At 36.2% G+C, this 22,100-nt stretch overlaps 1 protein-coding gene and 1 long non-coding RNA gene across 18 annotated transcripts in view; one reads left to right on the top strand and one right to left on the bottom strand.

Annotated features, from left to right (window-relative positions):
• LOC102724528 (uncharacterized) overlaps positions 1–20,906 on the top strand; it is a 29,606-nt gene extending 8,700 nt beyond the window's left edge. For both annotated transcript variants that reach the window (XR_001738294.3, XR_922284.4), the window contains 2 exons: positions 14,741–14,838; positions 20,247–20,906. This is a non-coding gene — a long non-coding RNA (uncharacterized LOC102724528). The remainder of the gene's footprint in view (positions 1–14,740; positions 14,839–20,246) is intronic.
• DNM3 (dynamin 3) overlaps positions 1–22,100 on the bottom strand; it is a 576,969-nt gene that overhangs the window by 3,810 nt on the left and 551,059 nt on the right. For 9 of the 16 annotated variants that reach the window (NR_146559.2, XM_017000976.2, XM_017000977.2 and 6 more), the window contains one exon: positions 1,940–6,885. The exons of 4 other annotated variants lie outside the window; for them this stretch is intronic. Coding sequence is in view for 11 of the 12 variants with exons in the window: in XM_017000976.2 (XP_016856465.1) it covers positions 6,816–6,885 (70 nt within the window). In the remaining variant the exon portion in view is untranslated. Of the gene's footprint in view, positions 1–1,939; positions 21,209–22,100 lie in introns of those variants that run through there. 3 more of the 16 variants (XM_017000985.2, XM_017000986.2, XM_017000982.3) reach the window with 2 other exon arrangements.

The raw sequence follows: 22,100 nt of genomic DNA, 5'->3' as shown, positions 1-22,100 counted from the left end.
ATCATCCAACTTTTTGTTAGTGAGAGTCTGTACTGAGGAAATCACACTCAATGTCTTTTCCTTTGGCTTAAAGCCACTGAAGCAGTTTCCTAAGGCATGTGCCTCAGGACACTAGATCTGTGAGATGTTCTATGGTCAAATAAGTCTGAGAAATATGTAGACATTACTCATCTCTTGGAGATTCACAATGCAGTCTGATTTTAAGGTTTCTGTGAAGTCTTTCAATAAAGAAACATTTGATTTTTAGTCATTATTTCTCAAGCATATTTGGCCAAAAAACCATTGGTGTATGTGTATGTAAAACTTATTAAGATTTCATGGAATGCACTTTGAGAAATTTTGAATTAAGGTTGTAGTTTTAGCCAATATCTCTTGTATGTATTCTAATTATTAGGCTGCCATAATATAAAATAATACTAGTAACAGGTCTGAAAAGTGGCTATGCCAGGTGTGTGTTGAAGTGCTTGGAAGCAAAGTTTGAGGTCACTCTAAACCAAATACTAAACACGTTTCTCAATATGAAATTTAAAGGTCCCATCAGAAAAACAAAAATCTTGGAAACAGATTGAGCATATGTTTACACCAATGCCAGAGCTATTTAAAACACCAATGGAAAATTGCCAAATAGTTACAATAAGTTTCTTTGTTTTTGGAAATTACCTTTAGAAACTATTCTGAATATATGATTAACATACTTCAAAATCATGCAGTTAAAACAAAACAAACAAACAGAACACAGGTATACAGCATGATTCGCATCCAGAATCTTTCTTCCAGTAAGAAGCTTCCTTTGAAGGTACAGATGTTCCACTCATGGAAAATGTATAGATATGAAAAAGAAATCCCACAGGAAAGAGTAAATTCACACAACAATCTGTCCAGTTCATCTTTTCACAATGAGCATGCCCTGATCGCAGAAAGAAAATAAATCAACATCTCTCTCCTCCTATCACCTTCTTGTCTTCTGCATTTAGATGGCACAATCTGGGAATATGTCAATTGATAAGGGACTTGTCATCAAAACTCTTGTAATAGAGAGTCTTCCTCTATTCTCTGGAAACTCAAAATTAGGACAAAGTTGTGTCATTCTTTCATTTTCTGAATACATTCTCTTAAAACTGGGGAAACTGGGCCGGGTGCGGTGGCTCACACCTGTAATCCCAGCACTTTGGGAAGCCGAGGCGGGCAGATCACGAGGTCAAGAGATCGAGACCATCCTGGCTAACATGGTGAAACCCCGTCTCTACTAAATTACAAAAAAAATTAGCCGGGCGTGGTGGCGGGCGCCTGTAGTCCCAGTTCCTCAGGAGGCTGAGGCAGGAGAATGGCGTGAACCCGGGAGGCGGAGCTTGCAGTGAGCCGAGATAGTGCCACTGCACTTCAGCCTGGGCAAGAGCGAAACTCCGTCTCAAAAACAAACAAACAAACAAAAAACTGGGGAAACTGAAAGGGGCAAATTGTCCTGTCTATGCCCAGTGAACAAATAACAGAGGCTAATTGTTGGGTCAGGAGCTAAAATATTTGCTATAAGAAATGCCTTCTGTGGACCTAACATTTGGGCACACCATCTTTCCTCCTTCCACTTCCCAGAATTTCTAAAATAAATGCTTCATTTTCAACAGCAAACTGTCATGGTGCTTCTTGGTAACTGTCACATCATACCCTCCTGCTAAGGTTTGTGTTCGTCAATCGATTCCAATAATGACATCAAATCAGAAACACAATGTCTCCCACTCTCCTGCCTTTGATTTATCCAATTTGTTCCCTTTAAAAATCCCATCTTTCTCCAAATTAATGACAGAAATGGAAAATGCTATCATTCTTTACTTTGGTAACTCTGGGACAATTTAATCAAAAGAGCTATAAATATTTAGAAGTCTCAGGTATTACTGAAAGGCATAGACATGACTCAAATATATACAAGAATGAGGAAAAGGGGTCCTTCAAATGTTATAATTTATTTCAGCTTCAGAAATACAGCTTCACATTTTCACAATAGGTACATGTGACCTTCAAGAACGATACAGGCTTTGAGATTTTTCTTCAAAAATTCCATTCTAAGAGTCCATATATCAGCATTAAGAAATCCTGAAAGTGCCAAGAAGACAGTGGAAAGTATCCGGCTCATATTAATTAAAGAATCAGCAGAGAAGACAAGATTTTACTTCTGTATATTCCTTCTTCAAACAAAGCAAAAGAAAAATTTGACCCAAAAAAGGGAAAGTAAAAATAGACAAGCAAGCAAAACAAAGGCTGTACATGTACATAGGAAATATAACACAAATCAAGTAGTACTGGTGGAATTACTGGTTGGGGGGAATAATTTTTAACAAACTGGTAGCAGACAAGGCAAGTGGTTAGACAGAGTAATTTTTGTCATAATTTTAAAACATTTCATAATGAGCGAAGTTTAAGGAATTCAAGAGTAAAAATTAAAAAGAGATTAATGACTTGAGTTGAGCCATATGTGAAACCTCCAACCAGAAGTGAGAAGTCTCACCAATATACCAGTATGAACAGGTCTTAAGACAAACACTCCTCTTTGAGTTTCCTCTCTCTTGCTCTCACACATACACACATTCTTACATATATACAAAGACACACACACACACACAAATAGCAGTGCATATATTACATATGCTTCAAAAATATTCTTAAAGTTTCACCTACACAGCACCACATAATTTTAAACATAGCAACCAGACAGGATGAGTAAGAGTATCTAGAAGACTCATTTGAGCTTTTTAGAATGTACAATGAGTGATCTGGTGAACGAATAATCATTTCTTCAAAATCATCTAGATTCATTTACATTAAACTCTGAGCTCACAGCTAGTAGTCTTCTAATTGAAATGATACAAAACTCATGGCTTAAGTCTCATACACTATCTTCTTTCATGAGTTCAACAGTTAGAGACCTAGTAGGCTTTATTCTTCATTCTGAGGAGATTCCTGTCACTTTCAAATAATTATGCCATTTGCCAAATGAAAAATGTTTACCTGAAAAAGTGGATGACCTACCTCCAAGGTATTAGATAGCTTCTCTCTTATATTTTCAGCAAATTTACTCAGAAAAATCCACTACTTTAATGTTGCTATGTCCTTTTTTTTTTTTTTTACTTCTACCATAGAGGAAAAATGACTATGTATATCAACTTGGCTTTTTAAGATTCAGCTCAGCAATCCAAAAATAATTTATAATTCCAATTAGAGATCTTAAAGATAGGTCTCCAGAGGTTTTACTTCTTACCGAAAAATATTGTCAAAGGTAATTCCTTCTTAGATTCAGATCTTCTTGTGGATTCAGATACAAATGTCTATGGACATTACCATGTTGTCATGGTAATTATGAGCTTTGTACCTCTCAAAATGACTACAATCTGGAGTTAGAAAATTTTGTATACCTCATATATGTTATGAGAAATGAACTATTGTTACCACATGTTATGGCAGATCATTCAAAGCTATCTGTTGTATTATCACAGTTTAAAAAATATCCTGATACCACACATACTAAGTACATGTATACATAGATATTTACAACCATACATATACATATATTTATATATATACACACAGTGCACATACAATCACACTCATGCTTGTGGCATTTTAACTAGTATTTTTAAAACCTACCTACCTACTCAAATGGACATAAAATACACATACTTACAGAAACATACTTACTAGGTATATGCCATATACACAGAGACACATGCATAGAAAATGTGTTTGTACACAGAAAACATCAACATTTATCACATACTGGTATTAGGTCCCATTTCATATTTGAGAATTATGGCTACAGTCTATACTAAAAAGTCACAAAATTAATCTATGTGACCACTTTTTAAGTCTAAGTCGAGAAGGCTTACAGTTACATCACAGGAACTGGTTTCATTAATATACTTTAGAATAAAGTGAGTTTGTATTGGAACAAATAGGAAATTTGCTAATAAACAGACCCTACTGCTCGTCTATGTTATAAAACACGGCTAAAAGCAATATTCAGACGAGTAACCTTGGTAGATGTTTTTTAGAAATGCAATATACTTTTTCTAAATCAATACTATTTCAATAAGCTGTCCATAATTGAGTAAATGGTTATTCCAATTAGTCAATATGCATGCAATATTTAGCATGTGACAATAAAACTATATTTACCTATCAAATAAACATTTACAGTTTATTTTCCCAAATCCTAAAAACACTGATTTTTTAAATTATGCTAGACATGATAGAGCTACATCTATTGTGTTTACAATATCAGAGCAATCAGTTAAGAGAAAATTACACAAAAGATTAGAAATGGTATGGGAAACAGAAAATCATTAAGCTACATTCCCATCTTAAGGCCTGGTGTGCATGCTGCACGTCAAACTATGCACATACTAGAGTTTCAGACTTCATTCAACATTGGCATCTCCTTTTAGCAGAATACAAACCCTTTGGGAAATGAGATTCATACTAATAATATGACATAGTACTGCAGCAAATTAAAAATATTCTCCAATGTCACTGCTGAAATTCTAGAGTAGGCTGGGTTCTATGAGAAATAACTTAGGAGTAAAGAACAAAAATGTACCCACAAAGGTAGACAATTGGGGCAGTGCAACTGTGGGACTATAATCTAAAAGCAAGTGCCAAAGATGACAAATGCCATTGTTTATTACTGCCTAAGATCAGTGGAAGGAAAATTGGAAAAAAATCTCCAATTTTTTTTGACATGGTTTGTGCTGATCTAAGAACACACCAGTGGTTATTCACAATATTTTCCTTTAACAGAAGGAAAATTTTGAAATACAGCAAAACACAAAACCACATTTAGCACAAAGCCAAACCCTGAAGTATATAATCCGTTAGCTGCCTATTTTAGAGAATTCAAAGGAAGAAGCAAAGGGAATCCTAAAAACAAGAAGTTTTATAAAAAGATCTCACTGAAGATTATTTGTTTTACTATGGATGTTTGCTTAACAGTTTTCCATTTAGCTGAGACACTATTTTAAAAATGCAGTATGTATCTTGCACATTGGTTCCATTCACAAAGAGTTAACTTTTTTTCCCCCAGTTTGGGGTTTGGGGTGAGATACGAGAGGATTTAGGATTGTGATGTTTTTATACAATCACTGGTAACCTTAAAAGTTGAAATGACCTTTATGTAAATCTTGTATTTTCTGATTTTTACCAATTATAAATGGGTTAGCATAAGCCTTTAGAATAAGTTCAATACAATGGCACTCAACATGGCAAGTTCTCTGTTTAATAATGGTTAAAAGTTTTTACTTTATACTTTATGAGTATCTGCTCTGGGTGTAAACTACACAGGAAATTAAAGTTAAGTTAACATACAAATCATGTTTGCTACTTTCAAAGGGAGACATTTCAGTTGGTGAAACCTGATTTACTTCTGTAGAATATGAAATAGTGTCATGGGACACCCCTACTCAGTGAATACTTGCTCTGCTGTCTGGGAACAGTTAGCACACAAAATTCCAGTTGGCTTCTGGCTGTTTCCTACATGTGAATCATCTGGTCCTTGGTAGTCCAAAACTTAGCCTCAAGACTTAACTATTAACCCCCAGGCTAAACTGTTCTGGTAAATTTTAGAAATCTTAAGAAATTGCAAATTTGCTTTAGATTTCAACGTTTCAATACCCTTTTCTGGAGTGACCTGGATAGGGACTTTGAAATACTGCAACTGTAAAAGTGTGAGCTCTGCTCTTATCCCATGCCATTTCTACTGACTTCATTTCAGGAACCATTCTTTAAATGTGATTATCCCATAGCCTCAAGATTTATTAAGAAAGCCTAGAATGGATATACAGTTACACTGAGCCTGTTTCAAGGGTAGGATAAATTCTTACAAAACAAGATTACAAATTAGCACGTAAAGAGTGAATTTTTTTTCCAACCAAAATAATAATAGTAAAACTGGAGTTAGTATCAAAGTGTAGTTAGCTATGCCAAATAGAAAAGTAAACATTCTCCATGTCAGCCTTCAATATAACCTACCATGAGGTGAATATAAGTAAAGAAAGAAATTATATTTTTCCCAACACTTCTAGAGATGTGATATTTTGCTTCTTCCTTGAACTCTGAAACTAATTAGCCAAATTTATTGACTGATTAACAAAAAAAGAAGCTTTTATTCACTGTTGCATATGCTTCTAGCATGAAGCAAAACACATTGGAATGAGGAGAAGCTCTTTAGAGCAAACAGTGCAGACTTTTCCTTTGCAAACTACCTCGTGCTTCTGGAAAAGTTTATTCTTAAGGAGTCCTAATTTTAAAAAATCACTTCCTAGCAGTCTTATGAAATAAAAAGGAAGAAAAGAGGAGCTAAATAGGCAATTATGGAGTAGGTAGTAGCATTAATGGTAGACAACAGAATTACTGTCATCCTAAACAGAATGTGGGAAAAGAAATATGTATGGCTTAGGTCTAAGCCCACTATCTCATATCTGAAGAATTACGTTTAATGAGCTACCTGGTAGATAGCCTAGAAAACTTGTCCAAAGCAATTTCAAATATATGCCATGGTAGGCAAATGATCCCCAAAGTATAGGGCTGCTATACAAACCTACCTTGGTCAGTACAACATATAAAGCCTCTAAAAGGTTAGCAGTTTCTGAGTCAAACCCCAAAGGTTTGACATACCATGAGCAATGAAGATGAGCGATGAATGCATTAGTAAAACTGGTTACTTGCCTACTGATGTCCACACATGCGACTACTCATGATTTACTGCAACGGTTATCAAATATGTTGCTTTCGCATAATTCATTAGTGATTAATTGCCATGCCAGACACTTCGTTTAGTCTAACAGGGAGGATTCTAGTGGGCGGATTATAGTGGGACGAGTTGGTGATGGGGGTGGTCTCCGGCTAGAAAGAGAAAAAGAGAAAGGTAAAGAAACAAGTAGAATATCTAGCAGAACATTGTTCCAAGGACACTGAGAAAGAGCCATTACACACATGCTCATGCACATACAGGCCAGCAGAAGTGGTTATGATCTGTAATGATTTTAACATTGTCACCTTTCATTTATCTAGTAGTTTTAATGAAAATTACGTCTTTTTTCATATGCAAATCTTTCTCAAAACTGAAGTCATTCCTTCCAATACTAATAAGAAATATGAAACTATTTGAAAGCCATCTGAAACGTACTGCACATATCTTAGCCAATAGAATATAATAATTACATAGAATGAACTCAGGAACTAATAAGGTATACTGTTTCAGACAATGATGGCTTTTGAATTTTTATTTCTCACATATAATTTTCCTTTTTCTTTCAGGATATTATTATCACTTCTCATTGCCTTTTTGACTTTCTCCAATTTGTTCTATATTATGCTTGTAATTTACAGAGCACTAAAAATCAGAAAAGCAAGTCTTTAGAGTTCTCTGTAGCAAGTGTAAATAGGCTCAGTGTTGAGTGCCTGTTTAAATTGCAGGAGCTCTAGTTCCTATTTTGGGTCTTAAAGACTTTAGTATTGGTATTAGTAGTATTACTCACTTTCTAGTTGGTAATGATGTTTCTGGTAGCTGAGTTTACTAAGCAAACGTACTTTAGATAATGAAATATTACTGTATTTGAGAGTCTCAACATTACCAAGTAATATTATTTATTACTTATTTATTCCTCAAGCTTCTACATTTATTTCCTAAATATATTAATAAGTTTTTTTAGTGTATTTGTGTACTTGACTTCATATATGGTATCTTGGGTAGTCATTTTTTTACCCCCCCAAATTTGACAAAGTCTACAAATTGAAATGTTTCTTTTTGATAAAACTCTGCAACTGATTTTTTCAGAAAGACTCCTTCTGGAATTATAGTCATAAATTTTTCTTCTGTATTAGAAACTCTATATTGATCAAATTGAATGTCCTTTCTCAGGTATGAAGAAGTGAAGTTAGAAAAATTTAAGAAAACTATTATGAAAAATAGTTTTGAAAAATAGTTTTGAAAAAAATAGTTGTTGAAAAATCATGGAACTATAAAATTAAATTACACGATCAAGGAAAAATCAAAGCAGGAGAGATATTGTTGATTAATGGTGAAAATATTAACTATTTAGGCACAAACTCATAGATATTAGTAGAATTCCTTTTACCTCATGCACTTGAAAAATGTGTAAGAGGCTTCAAAGGAAATCTTTCTTTGGGGAGGTACAAAGCACTGGAATTACAGGTGTGAGCCATGGTACCCAGCCTTATTTTCATTTAAAATGGCCATATATGTTTAACTTATGTCCTGAATCTTGAATCTGCATAATTTTCTTCTTTGATAGGAAGTTTCTGAAGGGCGCAGGTCACACCCACTTAACTTGTTTCATACAGTGTTTAGCATGGTGTTACATGCAATTACATTCTCAATGTCATTTTGGTCATCTTCTGAGACTACTAACTAATCATTTAAGACTTACTTCAGTGAAGCCTTCCCTGACCTGCCTTCCCCTCTCCTGATACAGTTGTTTGTATAGCATCTCAACAAATCTCTATTATTAGTCATCACACTGAACTCTAATTAGGCTTATATGTTATCTTCACTGATGAGAAATGAGCTGTCTCTTAATCATCTTCATGTAACTGTGGTATCTAGCTCACTGCTTGTCATTCAGTCACTGAATGTTTGATAACTGAATGAATGAAAGTTCCTCCTAGAATCAAGAAATAACTAATGAATGCTTGTGATATTCATTGGTCTTATAAATACAAGGATATTTGTGAGTAAATCATGGCCATGGCAAAAAAAAAAAAGTAGCTAAAGTGACATGTAGGATTGAGATCCTTGGTGACTCTAAAGTATCTAACTGCTCAGTTCTTTAGTAGATATTTGGAATAAATACCAAATAATAAGCCCCCTGCCCTCAGGGAGTTTGTCAAATAATCATGTAACCTATGGAAATGTATTCTTAGCAATTAACCAGTTGGCTGGTGGGAGGAGAGAACTGGCCAGAATTTGAGCTTTAAGGAGGGAAATTCTACCAGAAGTTTTGATAATGGAATTAATTAGGTGATTTCATTAAATAAAAAGTTGATTTTAGACTACAAATTCAGTGAGAAGTAGGATACAGCATGGCATGATGGATTGGAAATCGTTTCATGAATATGTGATAGCTTGGATCAAGGCTTGTAGCCAAGAGAGAAAGGAATGAAACTGACTTCTCTTGATCCTTTTGTTCTTGGCTTAACTGTTATTCCTCAGTCCTTCTGGACCATCCCATAGTTTTCCTGACTTCCTCTGCCTTCCCCTATGACTTCATGTTTGTGTCTCTCGTAGCACGTAACCCTACTTGTGATTATGTATTTATTTACTAGATTATTACCAGTGTCCCCCAAATAGATTCAAAATTCCTTGAGAAAAGAAACCACATATTTTGCATTTATTATGTGTATTCAGCATTTGGTACAATGTGATTAGAAAGCAGTGGTTAAGTATTTGTTGAATAATGGACAAATGAAGAAATGACTGAAAAGTGCCTAAACAAGATATTTAGCCAGGCTAGAGTTTAGGCTAGATCAAGGTGAGTAGGTCTAGCGAGGCCAAGGATGCTACACTTTTAAGGCATTTATCAGAAGCTTATATTTGAGATACTATGTTTACATAGAAAGAGTCCTGGATCAGAAGTTAGAAAATGTGGATTCTAGCTCCAGTTGCCAAATTGTACAATCAGACTAGATGATCTATGTCAAGACTTCCAGTTATATATTGCATAGATTATTTATTGAGCATCTAATATGTGGACTGCTTCATGCTACATGACTTTAAAGAGCTCAGCATCTATTCAGAATGGAAGATGAGTGGAATAAAACAAATATGAAAGTAGCTTTATTATAGTACTTCATTTTAAGTGGAAAAGTGGGGCAAAATTTTGTAATTCGGAGTCTGAGAATACACTCTGGGAAGTCTGAAAATACAATAATGTGGTCAAAGTGATGGCAAACATGATTGTAACTGCTGCATATAAAACTTGGAAGTAGGAATGTAGGTCTATAATGAGTGAAATTGGAACTTAAATGATGGCGATTGAAGGGAAAAATTCAATGGTGTGGATAGAGAATAGAAAGACTTAAGTACTCTTATGGCACAGTAAATTCTCATTAATATCTGCTTTAATCCTTGGACCATGTGGCTGGGACAAGAGCACAATAGTAGCAGGCAATTGCAGAAAGAAGTCAAGACAGGAGATGAGGAGAACATATGGTTCTGCTATGTGCCAGGTCTATTGTTAGTCTTATTCACTACCATATCCCATAACTTAGCATGGCCTGTGGTTCATAGTATTGTATTTTTTTCCAAATAAATCAGTCAATCAGGATAACTTATTCATTATGAGCTCTTTAAGGATGTCCCTAGGGACATGCATTTAATAGGCACTGCATAGCTAGATGGTGAATTAATAATTAAAATAATAAAAGATAAAATGTTCATGTTCTCTCAAAGTAACTATGATATCTTGGAAATATGCCTAGTTGCAGTTAAAGGAACCCAAATATGTACTTAGTCATTAAAAATCCTAAAGAGCTCCTCACTAAACCTTGCAGAAGAAATAAACATTTTATTTATTTTTTCTAAAACAGTAACAACAAAAATCTGTATATACAACTGTACTAGAAAGCAATTTAGGGTGAATTTTCTTAATATGCAATGCTAAAGATGTTTGCTAACTTCAACACCAGAAAACATTTAAAGTTTACTGTTAAAGTTCATTTCATTGGTCCAGTTCCTAACCATTCAAAGAGTTTCCAAAGGCATTCACCTCACAAGACAGTTTGTTTTGGGGAAAGCAAAGTTATTGTTTTGTACCAAATTTTCCTCAGTTGCTTTGTTTAGTAATGAGCTTCGTTAAGTAAGGCATTATATTGAAATGGAGCATCTTGTATCACTTAGTGTTTATTGAAACACTGTGTTGTATGTGGGCGGTTTATGGTTACATAGAAGAGCCATGTTTCTTCTTTCAAATCAAAGGGGAAGAAGTAATACTTGAAGTTGTATTTGTAGCTGCAGGGATGGACTGTTTGCAGTATTGTGGACAATGACAAATTTTGTAAGAAAGTCAAATGCTCATGCAGGGTGGGTGGCATTGTGGGGGAGAAACTGGCTTTACCGATAAGAGAGAAGAATGCATCATTGTTTTCTTGCCTTATTTTATTGTCTTTTAAGAACAGAAGAACTAAAATTTCATCTGCTCTTCTTTGGATTAGCTGGTCCTGAGTGTTCATGATATGAGGCCCATTTTAACAGGAGTTAAGGGAGACCTCAATAAGGGCAAACTGCTTTGGTGTATCAGTTTGTGGGGTGGGTGTGAAAACCACCTTTCCTCTAGCTTCTTGCTTCCAGCTAGCATAATACTGATTTGTGAAATGGATTGGCCTTTCTGTCCCTGCCCTTATTTCTCCATAGGATGGGAAGTAGGAATTATCTGACTGGTAAATTTTTAAGCCAGAATGGGCCTATGTAGTTCAGTCTTCTTCCTTTCCTGTGCTTGCACTAAGGTCTCATGACTTTCAGTGCAGAATTTTTTCTATTGGGCAGTTAGATTGATATGCTCTTGGCAATGGTTCTCAAATTGGACCTTGCATCAGAGTTCCCTGGAAGCCTTGTTAAAACACAGGTTGCTGGGTGCCACCCAACATTTCTAATGTGGTGGGATATTTCTAATAAGTTCCCAGATGCTGCTGGTCCTGGGACTATGCTTTGAAACCACTGTTCAGTAAAAAAAAGATTTTTACTTTGCTTTATTAGCAATTCAATTTACTTGCCAGATAAAGTAAAAACAAAAAGAGAAAGTGCTGGAAATCTTAAGAAGGATGAAGAAATGCTTGTAGAAACACTTTGATACCTTTAGGAATTAGACTTAAGCATGGGTGAAAGCAGTTTTAGCCTTATGTTATAAAGACCAAGATACTGGACTACAGTGTTTGTTGTCGTTGTTGTTAGTCATTATCAGAAGAATAACTACTACTTGCTTAGGGAAGCTTGTATTTGCTTATGAAAATAAATAGGTAAGCATCTCTGTGCATTCCAAATTCTAATCTTTGGAGAGGGTAGGATTGAAGTCCAGCATAAGTAGTTAGGTGGACCCAAATTAAAAGAAAGCCTTCAAAAAGATATACAAAGACTGACATTTTTAGAGAAGATATCTGCTTAAAAGGGTAGTTATTTGCATAAAAAGGATATGCAGTAGCTTCTTTTACATTGCAAGATTTACTTGTAAATTATAATTGAAAGTTTAAAATATAACTGTCTCAAAATTTAGTTTACATACATCTAGGATCATGAGAGAGTTATACATCCCAGGTTTCCAAGGGCCACTAGAATCTGATATCAACTTGCCCACCCTTTTTAAACTTATTTATGATAAAAAATGAAGGGTTTTATCTACAAAAACCATTTTCTATGTTTTCAGGAATTGAAATGCTTTACTTCTCAATGACCCTCTTGAATCATTTAATGCTTGCATCATTTTTTTTGAAGTTTGAGGCGTGCATGCATATCTTATCATCTGAACAACATTCAAAACCTTCTATGAACCAAGATTACTCCTACGCCTCTTGCAGCTTTCCACAGCACCTGCTGAGGGCAGTGTCCCAAGCGGTAGATCAATGAGTGTGAATGGGCCCAAAGATAAATCGGGTTGGAGCACACTTCTAGGTAAAATGGAAGGCAGCTGTGATGCAGGACCCCTACTTCTTCTTGTGAATGTCTGCTCTAAGAGAACAAATTTTGGGACACTGTATTTTAAATTTCAGCGATGTATTTGCACTCTACTTCTTATTTTGGGCATTTATTTAAAGTCAGAAAAATGCTATAACAGTCATGATTTTGTCCACATGGAAGATAATATTTTATAATTTACTGTAAGAAATACTATAGGGTGCTATTCAGCATATTTTTGGAATTTTTGGCTGTAGCAACAGAATGAGCCAATACTATCCAAGAATAGTTTACAGTAGATGCTGGAAAGAACACAGAACTTGGAGCCCACTTAAAGGATTTAAGGAATTCTCTAATATGATTCTTGCAGTGTATTAGAGCCAGCATTTCTTTCCCCTGTGAAAATGAACCCATGATTTTATAATGTATGTCATTGGGAAAATATGAATCAATTCATGGAATTTGAAATCAGAACATAGGGAGAAAAATAGTTCACAATTTTTTGATGATACAAACAGGTAATATCCTGTATAAATTAGCCTGTGACATAAATGGTAATATAATCTGCTTTGTCACACTTTCTTTACATTGTCCTACATATCTGACTTGGATTTCACCCATAGGCATGGTGCCTAATATACCCACTTCTGTGGTTGTGGCAAAAAAGCAGCTTAAAGGATGATTTACCCACATTAACTCTCCTCAGTTTATGATCTGTAAAAAGAATTTTACAACATTCACTCAGGCAAGCTTTTCAATAGAATAGAACAAGAAAGTGTGTTTAAGTTGGTTTTTAAAATAAGTATCGGGCTAGTTTCAAAATAAATTTTGATTGAGGCTTGCAAGTCAATTCATTTTATATTCCTTCATCCCCTCAGTAAGCCCTACTTATGTACTAGGTACTGTGTTAAGAGGTAGAGATACAGAAATAAAGAGTCACTGCCCTGAAGAAGTTTCTTGTTGAGATGGAGAGAGACAAGTTAACTATGACCACAGTAGGATTATGCTAAAATTTTTGCTTCAGGAGTTTCAGAAACATCTGGAGTCCTAGCTTAGAGTTGGAAGGAGGCTAGGAGGTTGGAAGGACTTCCAGAAAGTACGGAAAGTTAAGGGGACTAGCATTCCAGGAATAGGAAAGGTATGTGCAAAGGAAAGAAAGCCAGAAAGTACTGAAGTTTGAGAAATCAAGGGTTGTCTTATTCTTTATCACAAATACCAAATGACTTGTTTTGTCCCAAGTCCTAATAAAGTCATGAAACAGGTAACATGAAGGATTTTTAGTTGTATTAAAATATGATTTCTAAAAAGCATTACTTTCCGAGATTAACTTTTAAGTATTTTGGCCTTTGTACTATATCATTGAGATTATAAACTTGGGGGAGGAAAGAGCTAAAAGAAACGCAGAGAAGCAGAAGGCAAGAGGGATACAGTGTGAGAAAGCATGCAGAGAAAGGAAGTGGTTTTACAGAGATTTACAAGTGATTTTTTTTCCTTTGCTCCTTCCTTTCCTCCTTTTCTCCTGTCCTGCCCCTTCCCTCCTTCCCTCCTTTCCTGCCCCTTCCCTCCTTCCCTCCTTTCTTCCTATCTCCCTTCTATCCCCCCTCCTTTCTCTCTTATTCCTAAAGAGACCTCCAGAAACTTATGTGCTGTAGAAACCTACTCCCACTGATGGTGAATGGGGTAAACCTTTTTCTGACCCTTCTCGTCACTCCCACTTCAGGCACCAGGAGAGGGAGAGGCCAACTGCCACCATTTAGGGGAAGGAGGAGGCAGAAAGGAGGTGCTGAGAACTAGCTACTGGGCGAGGCAAGTGTCCGCTTCTGAGAAGGAGGAGGAAATCAGGAGGAAGAAGGAAAAAGAAGAAAGGATAGGGAGGAAAAAGGCAACACTTCGAATCTCTGTATGACTGCACAATTCATTTCTGCTTTGGGAAGATAGAAAAGACTTTTTGTCCCTTTCTGAGAGGGAGCAAGAACCTTTCAAGCATGGGGATGTGACTTGGGGTAACTATGTAACTAGAAATACTCACAGAAAAATAACCTTTCCTTTTCCTTTTTTTTTTTTTAACAACAGCAAAAAAAAAGAGCATGAGGAATTTGAAGACTGAGAGATGAGTTGTGTAGCACCAACATTTTCTTTCTGCCTGACCTTCATACCTGATGAATTAAAAGGTCAGTTTTAAGTGCACCACATGATAGGCTTCTGTCACTTCTATTAGCCCAGGTGGTAAATATGAAGAAAAAGAATTACCATTTATTAATCGTCCCAGTTATTTTTTTTTAAATCCAGCAGGAGGAGCTCTAACATGCTTTAGAGCTCAAATTTTAAAAACAAAATTTTTTAAAGCAAACAGAGAAAAACAGAGAGGCATTGTGCTTTGCAGGCTGCCATGTCAGTGAACAAATATGTGACTAAGTCCAATTAAATGCTTCGTGAGAAGCCAAGGAAGCCAAGCAATGACACTCGTGGAGACAGAACGGCCCACATTTCCTCCCTTCCACGAGCCTCCTCTTTCTGATGCAGTTAAGATGGGACTGGTCTGCAGTATTAGCTCTTACAAAAGAGGGAGCAAAAGGATGATTTCTGGGCAAGACTAGATGTAATTCTTTTCCTCTGAACATGTCATATTGTTTCTAAATGAGTCTTTGACACTGGCTCAAGAATTTGAAACGCCTTGAAAAACAGAATTTTCATTGTTGGTTGAAGGCACTATGAAACTCCTAAAGGTTCAGTCGCTTCTACTCAGCGGCTTGTCAGACGCTTTTTTTAAATGAGAGAAATGCTGTGTTTGTAAAAATTGGTGCTAAAAGGGTAAAGAATAATATGTCCCCTGGGCCATGTAAAGAGTCTGCAGAAAGAATTAGGGCTTTCTAACATACACACATAAACTGGAACACAAAGAATTTACTCAGGAACAGTGAGGAGTATATGAATTTAACAGTTATGGGATTTTTAGGGTAAGCCTTTCCATTTTGGACAGTGTTGTAGGGGTGGAATGGATGAGTAGGCATATAAGATGATCAGAATTACTTAACATGAAGGAAATTTTCAACCAATCCGTTTTAATCTCTTGCCAACAAGAAGTCAAACTTTTGTTTTACACCTTAATGGTACACCCACATTTTAAATTTTTATACAAGCTCCTACAGAAACTTTAACTAGACCAATTCAGACCAAAAGTCACTAAATAAAGCTAGTCTAGACGGAAAATCTATGAAAACCATATGTCTTTTAGGCATCTGTCTTACAAAAACTACCATCATCCTGGAGAAATTGTTCACAAAATATGCTTTTAGGAAAACACTGCTGTACTGACCATGGAGGCTGTACGTAAGAAGATGGCTGGACTTGGAAAGAGTAAAGCCAAAATGTTTATAAATGAAAGGCTCTCATTTTCACATACATCTAACTGCCTGTAAACATTACTGAAAGGATGGGCCAAGCAGATATCATTTACCTTACCATTATTCTAGAAGAGATCAAAAAAGTTTACAGTTTTGTTCCTCCTCACTACTACAGAACATTAGACCAGGGGATCTCAAAGCAACTCTGTTCTCACCCACAGAGAACTATTTTGAATAATGTTGTACGTGGATGAGGCCAATAAACCAGAACATTTTCTTCTGATTATTACCTCATCCTGCTGGCCTGCCAAACACAGCTAGCAGGCAAGTGTTTGATATAAGTAACTAGAGGAAGACTGTTCTGTATAATTGGGCGTAGGGATCATCTGAGAAACAAGGGAAATCAGAAGGACTAGAGTGCAATGACAATGCAGTAAAGAGGAATATTCTCAAATCTTGCTTTTCCAATTCAACATTGCTTTCTGAGCTAAAGACAATGGTCAGTGCTACCTTCAGTATTCTAGGTACATAATGTTTCACCTTAAAATGCATTTTAATTTTAATAAGTGGTAAGCAATCCACAGAAAAGAAATATAAATGCAAACTTTGCAATAAAAATAACATTCTAACTGAAAACTGTGAATATCAATGGAGCCTATGAAAGTATTTATGAACTGCAAAGATAACTTGTAATCCTCTAGAATATTTTACTGAAACTTATTTTTCTGCAGGAAGGGAGACTTTGGAACAATTCAGTAGCAATAATTATTGGCATGAGTAACTCCATGCGTTTTTCAGTCACCTAGAAGATCGTGACTGAACAATATACATCAAATAGCCACATATGGCAAAAAGGTCCTAAGTTAGAAGAGGAAAATACCAGGAAAAAAAAAATGAAATCTATAAGATGTAATCAGTTATACACCAAAGTTTTAAGCAAACACCAGAAACACTATTTCAATGGGTTTATTCAAAGATATTGTGCTTTAAAATGAATTTTCAATGTAAGTATGAGTTTTCATGCATTAATTATTAAGATAGTGATGGAGTAATTTAGAGTGTTTGAAATATTAAAATGAATCAAGCAATTATATCAATATCCTTCATTAAAGATTCCCGAACTGAACTGTAGAACACTTAAGTAAGCTAATCACAGTCTACTGATGAGTCACAGGGGTTTTTCTGGTCCATTCATCTTAGTCCTAAGTGGTACTATTGTTAGAGCTAAAACTATAAGTCTGCTTTCATACAAATCATACGCAGAGCACAGATTTTATTTTGACTTTAGACCCAGGTATTTGGCGGGAAATTACTGCAGTGGTTTTTCTGTTTAACACATTTACTAATGTTTCCTTAATTTTTCCACCCCAAAGGGCAATAATTAAGGTGGAATTTGCCTCACATGAAGTTTTATTATTTTAGTTATTAAAATAGTTTCCAACACTACTGAGAAGCAAAAAGCAATTCTCGTTGTTTTAAGAAGTAAGTAGACATTTTCCTCAGTTCTTACAGCTTTTCCTCAGTGAATGGTATTATAGCGAGAGCAGTGGGGCAGACTTTCTGGTGTAGGCCCTTGAGCATGATACTACTTAAGGGTAGATTTACTTAAGGGAACAATTTCATTCACTCTTAAAATTGGCTTTGAGAATAATGCTAATATAAACTTAAAAAAATACACATGGTACAGAATGTATCTTACATAAATACCCATTCCTGAGTGGAATAATTTCATTGCAGACTCTCTGGACTGCGAAATGCCTTTAAAAGTCTTTCTCATCTCCTATTCTCATAAGAGGTCTCATTCTAGATGAGATATATACTAATCTTTTGAGATAAATGAAATACTGCAAATGAATGTTATATATTTAAATATACAGACGAACAGTAAATTTAGATAATGTTACCTCATGAAAATCTGAAACTAAATACTGGTAATATTTACATGATGGAAGCAAGTGGTATATTTGATTGTAAAATAAGACCATTCCCAAGTCATATTTAAAGCAGCATAATGCCTTCTCATGCTGTCTTATTTTCTCTTAGTTTCAAAATTACCATAGAAGCTGAGGGATTCTCCTGTGGTGGTGTATTTAGTTGTGGCTATCCAGACTTTTAGCTTATTCTCTCTCTTAGTTAGTCCATTAGCCCTTCTACCAAAGAAGCAGGGAAGGAATGGGGCTTATTTCTAAATTTCATATCAACTTGCACATTTAAGAAGAGTGCTTATACCTTTTCCTGTTTTCTAATGTTTAAATTAATTCCCAATAGGAGAAAAAGTTGATTTTATGAACATTTGGAATTTTACATGTCTCTAAGCAACTGAAGTTAGGAAGACCCTACCTTGCTATGGATTATGAGTGACTGCGAATTTTGCTACTTGCCATTTTGACTTAACATATTTTCAGGTCCTTGGGTAGAATTTATTCTTTCTATGATTCACATGAGCTGATAACTTCGACCAGAAAACAGGAGTGGGCATTTCCTAGTGCTTATGGGAATAGTTAAAAAATAATTCAAGAAATTAGAGTGTTTGCTATTTGTGGTTTTGCCTATTGCGTGGCTGTGATGCCTGAAAAGCAGTCACAGGGCAAAAAGTGCCATGAGGAGACGGCGCAAATACCTAGCGGCTTTAGACTTCTTGCCTTGTGTAGGAATTCTTTCTTGGTCAGAGTTGCCATGGGATCTAAACTTGATGTAAATACTTAATGTGGCATCAATGCACATGTAAATTCTATCATCAAATCTAGTGCCTTTCAACACTGCCCTCCCATCCCCCACATTTAAAATACTGGCCACACCAACAGTGTAACAGTCTTTTGGCGACAGCATTTGGTAAGCCAGATGGATTTAATTTGGCAACTTAAGGGTGTAAATATATGTTTAGATTCAGGGGTTCCCCCCGACAACACTTACAATACATTGGCAATGGTAAGCTAAAGGATTTCAATGTCGAGTGTTTTAAAATTCTCCCTTTGAGCAGCAATGAAGTTATGACAGGCAAGCAAAAGCCATCAAACTCTCAGCTAAATCCTCAATGTTTTTCTTACATTGCTGGAGGTAGGCATTTAAGGCATGTTTCTGAGTGAAAGATGAAGCATTTACATTTTCATTTTTAATTTCCTGGCTCTTATTGGCTAAAGCAACTCTAGTAAACGTTATTTAAATTTTGCTTCTAGGCCTGGTGTGGTGGCTCATGGCTGTAATCCCAGCACTCTGGGAGGCTGTGGTGGGTGGATCACCTGAGGTCAGGAGTTTGAGACCAACCTGGGCAACATGGTGAAACCCTATCTCTACTCAAAATACAAAAATTAGCTGGATGTGGTGGTGCACGCCTGTAATCCCAGCTACTCAGGAGGCTGAGGCAGGAGAATCGCTTGAAGCCAGGAGGCAGGGGTTGCAGTGAGCCGAGACCACGCCACTGCACTCCAGCCTGGGTGATAGAGACTCCGCCTCAAAAAAAAAAAAAAAAAAATTGCTTCTGATCTTTCACAGAAAGAAGGAAGAAGTTCCCCAGCAGTCCTTTCTTCTAATTTGTTGCTTGGATAAAATTTAGAGGTGAAAGAGCTATGAGCAATGTCATGCCATGAATCGTTGACGTCGTTAAAACAAGAAATAACAAGAACTGTCTGAATGTGAAGGTTTCCCTGTAAAAATCATTCTTTTCTTACAAGTGAGGGAAACAACGAAGTGCAGTGATGAAATAGAAGTACTAGCTTGTGTGTCATCTACAAATCTGTATCTGCTTACACTGGGCAAAACTTTTTTTTTTAAACCCCCCTTTCTTTGAGCTAACATTAACTTGTATATAGGAATATTCAGCAGATTCCAACTGGTGACAATTTGCTACTGACTGGTTGCAGGAAGAATAATAATCCTCTACTGTGCATTTTTCACTGGCCAGTGGCTTCTCTGCCAGACTCCTGTCTTGGCTGTTTTCCTCTATCAGTCAGGTGAAACTCAGGGCAGGGCTTGGTCCCCTGAAACTCAGGAAGGCTTTCCCTGCAATGGCTGAAGCTTCAACAATTTAGAGCCCCAAAGAGAACAATGACAGAGCTATTTGCTATTATTTGTCATGGGATGTGGAAGCAGTTGTGTTTGGTTAGCTTAATGCCAGTTACCACTGGGCTAACAGCAGCATATTGTTATATTTACTGCTGCTGTCTGCATTTATGTTACTTGTACTTTGCCTTATGTAGATCCTTTCTTATTTTCCTTTTCCTTTTACCCTCTTACAGCATAGGATGTTTGGAAGAGTGAGATAGGGGACACATTGAAAACAGAGAGGCAATCTGAAGGCTACCTTGACGCATCTGCAAAGCTCCCAGATTCTGACTTTCACAAGACTTGCTTTCTGTTTCTGGGCCTCGCCTAAACAGACTGCCAGTCATCCGAACCGTGGCAGGATGGAGATGTTTGTGTAAGGTAGACTCAAGTTTGCAAGACTCAAGAAGGAAACCACCAAACTAATTTTACTTTCACTTAAACCAGATTGAAACCAAGACTTGAAGAATTAAAAACTTTGACATTAACCATTGATTCACTCCAATGAAATAATTGTGTTATAGCCAGAATCATGGTGAAATTGGAACAAGGCTTTTGATGGGATTTTTAATTGAGGGACTTATATTAAATTGGATATTTTCTTTAATGAACAGCATGTGGCCAAAATTCTATTTTCATTAAAGTATATTAAGCATCATGACAACTCATATTAAACCTGCAACAAATGATTAATGACATTTAGAGACTTCAAATGTCATGAGACACCTTAAATATTAAGAATCAAAAAGAACACCTCAAAGTTGTTTCTATTCTTAGTAATTATGCTTAAAAAAACATCTTTCCTTGCTTTGAAAGCCAGTTGCTAAAAATAAAAACTGTTCCATGAAAAATCACAATGCCCAATGATAAATTTATGTATTTGTTTTTTAAAGGGGGAGGATGGTGAGAAAAATAGAAAGCTCCTGGCTGACATCAGAGGTCACAAGATGAGTTCCTCATTTGTCCAAATGACATTCAGCTGCTAAAAGAAGTCAGACTTTTAGAGGGCTGTTGAAAAGACAGTAAGTCAGGAGGTTTTCAGTACATGACTGCAGGGGAATCAGACACAGGCTAGTCACTTAAGTTGCTTAATTGTCCGTGTACCCTTAGCCCACGACTTCAGGGCTCAGCAGCTTCATCCTTCATGGCACCAAACCTTGACGTAAGGGATTCAAAGACACACTCATAAGAATCGTGAATTTGTCCTCATGCAAAATTTGGGGGACTGGCTACAAAACCGAAACAAGGAGATCGTATCCCTAAGTGAAAGGGACTTTATATTAATTGTCAGTTATAACAATATGTAAAATACATAAAAGAGATAGAGCACTGCAGGCCATCAAGGTCAAACATTTGAAACAGAATTAAACTAAATTATAAGGAGGATTAAATGGCTTTTGTCTTTGTAAAGAAAAGAATATGCATGCATTGATTGCCTATGTAGAAGGATTAATAAATCTTTTGGCATGGTCGATTTGTAATAAATTACTGAAAATGTGGGATTACAATGAAACTCTTAAAGTGTGCCACATAAGTCAAGGAAGCCACCTAAGTCATGGGATGGGCATGAGTGAGACACTCTGGAATAATCTTGATGCTACTCTGGGACTGCCCTTGCAGGGTGGGACATCAGCTTCACTAAGGGGCTCACCAGAGACTCCTTCAAGGGAGCATTTCTTGGTTTCCATATTGTGTTTATGTCATTTTGATGAGCTGGAGTAAAACCCAAATCCTTTCGAATGATTCAGTTTTGTCTTTTTAAAGAGAAACCATCATACTTGGTGAACAAGGGTGGTCAAAAAAAGTACTTGAATATTGAGTGATGAGGTTAAAAAAAAAAGTTTCTTCTTGCTTGGTTGGAGACCCTTCCTCCCACCCTTATCCCCTTTTGACTATTGCAAAATAGCTTAGTCCAAGGAAAGGGAAGAAGACAAATGAGTGAAATAATGCCAGAGTTCATTATTGCCAGGAAAAACACACTCGGATTCAGTGAATTTGTTCCGTTAATGTCAAAGACTGTGATTCCCAATTAACTAATTTTAAGAAGC

The sequence above is a fragment of the Homo sapiens genome, chromosome 1, assembly GCF_000001405.40.
Source record: "Homo sapiens chromosome 1, GRCh38.p14 Primary Assembly".
Taxonomy (NCBI): Eukaryota; Metazoa; Chordata; class Mammalia; order Primates; family Hominidae; genus Homo; species Homo sapiens.
This window is presented reverse-complemented; position numbering and strand designations above follow the sequence as displayed.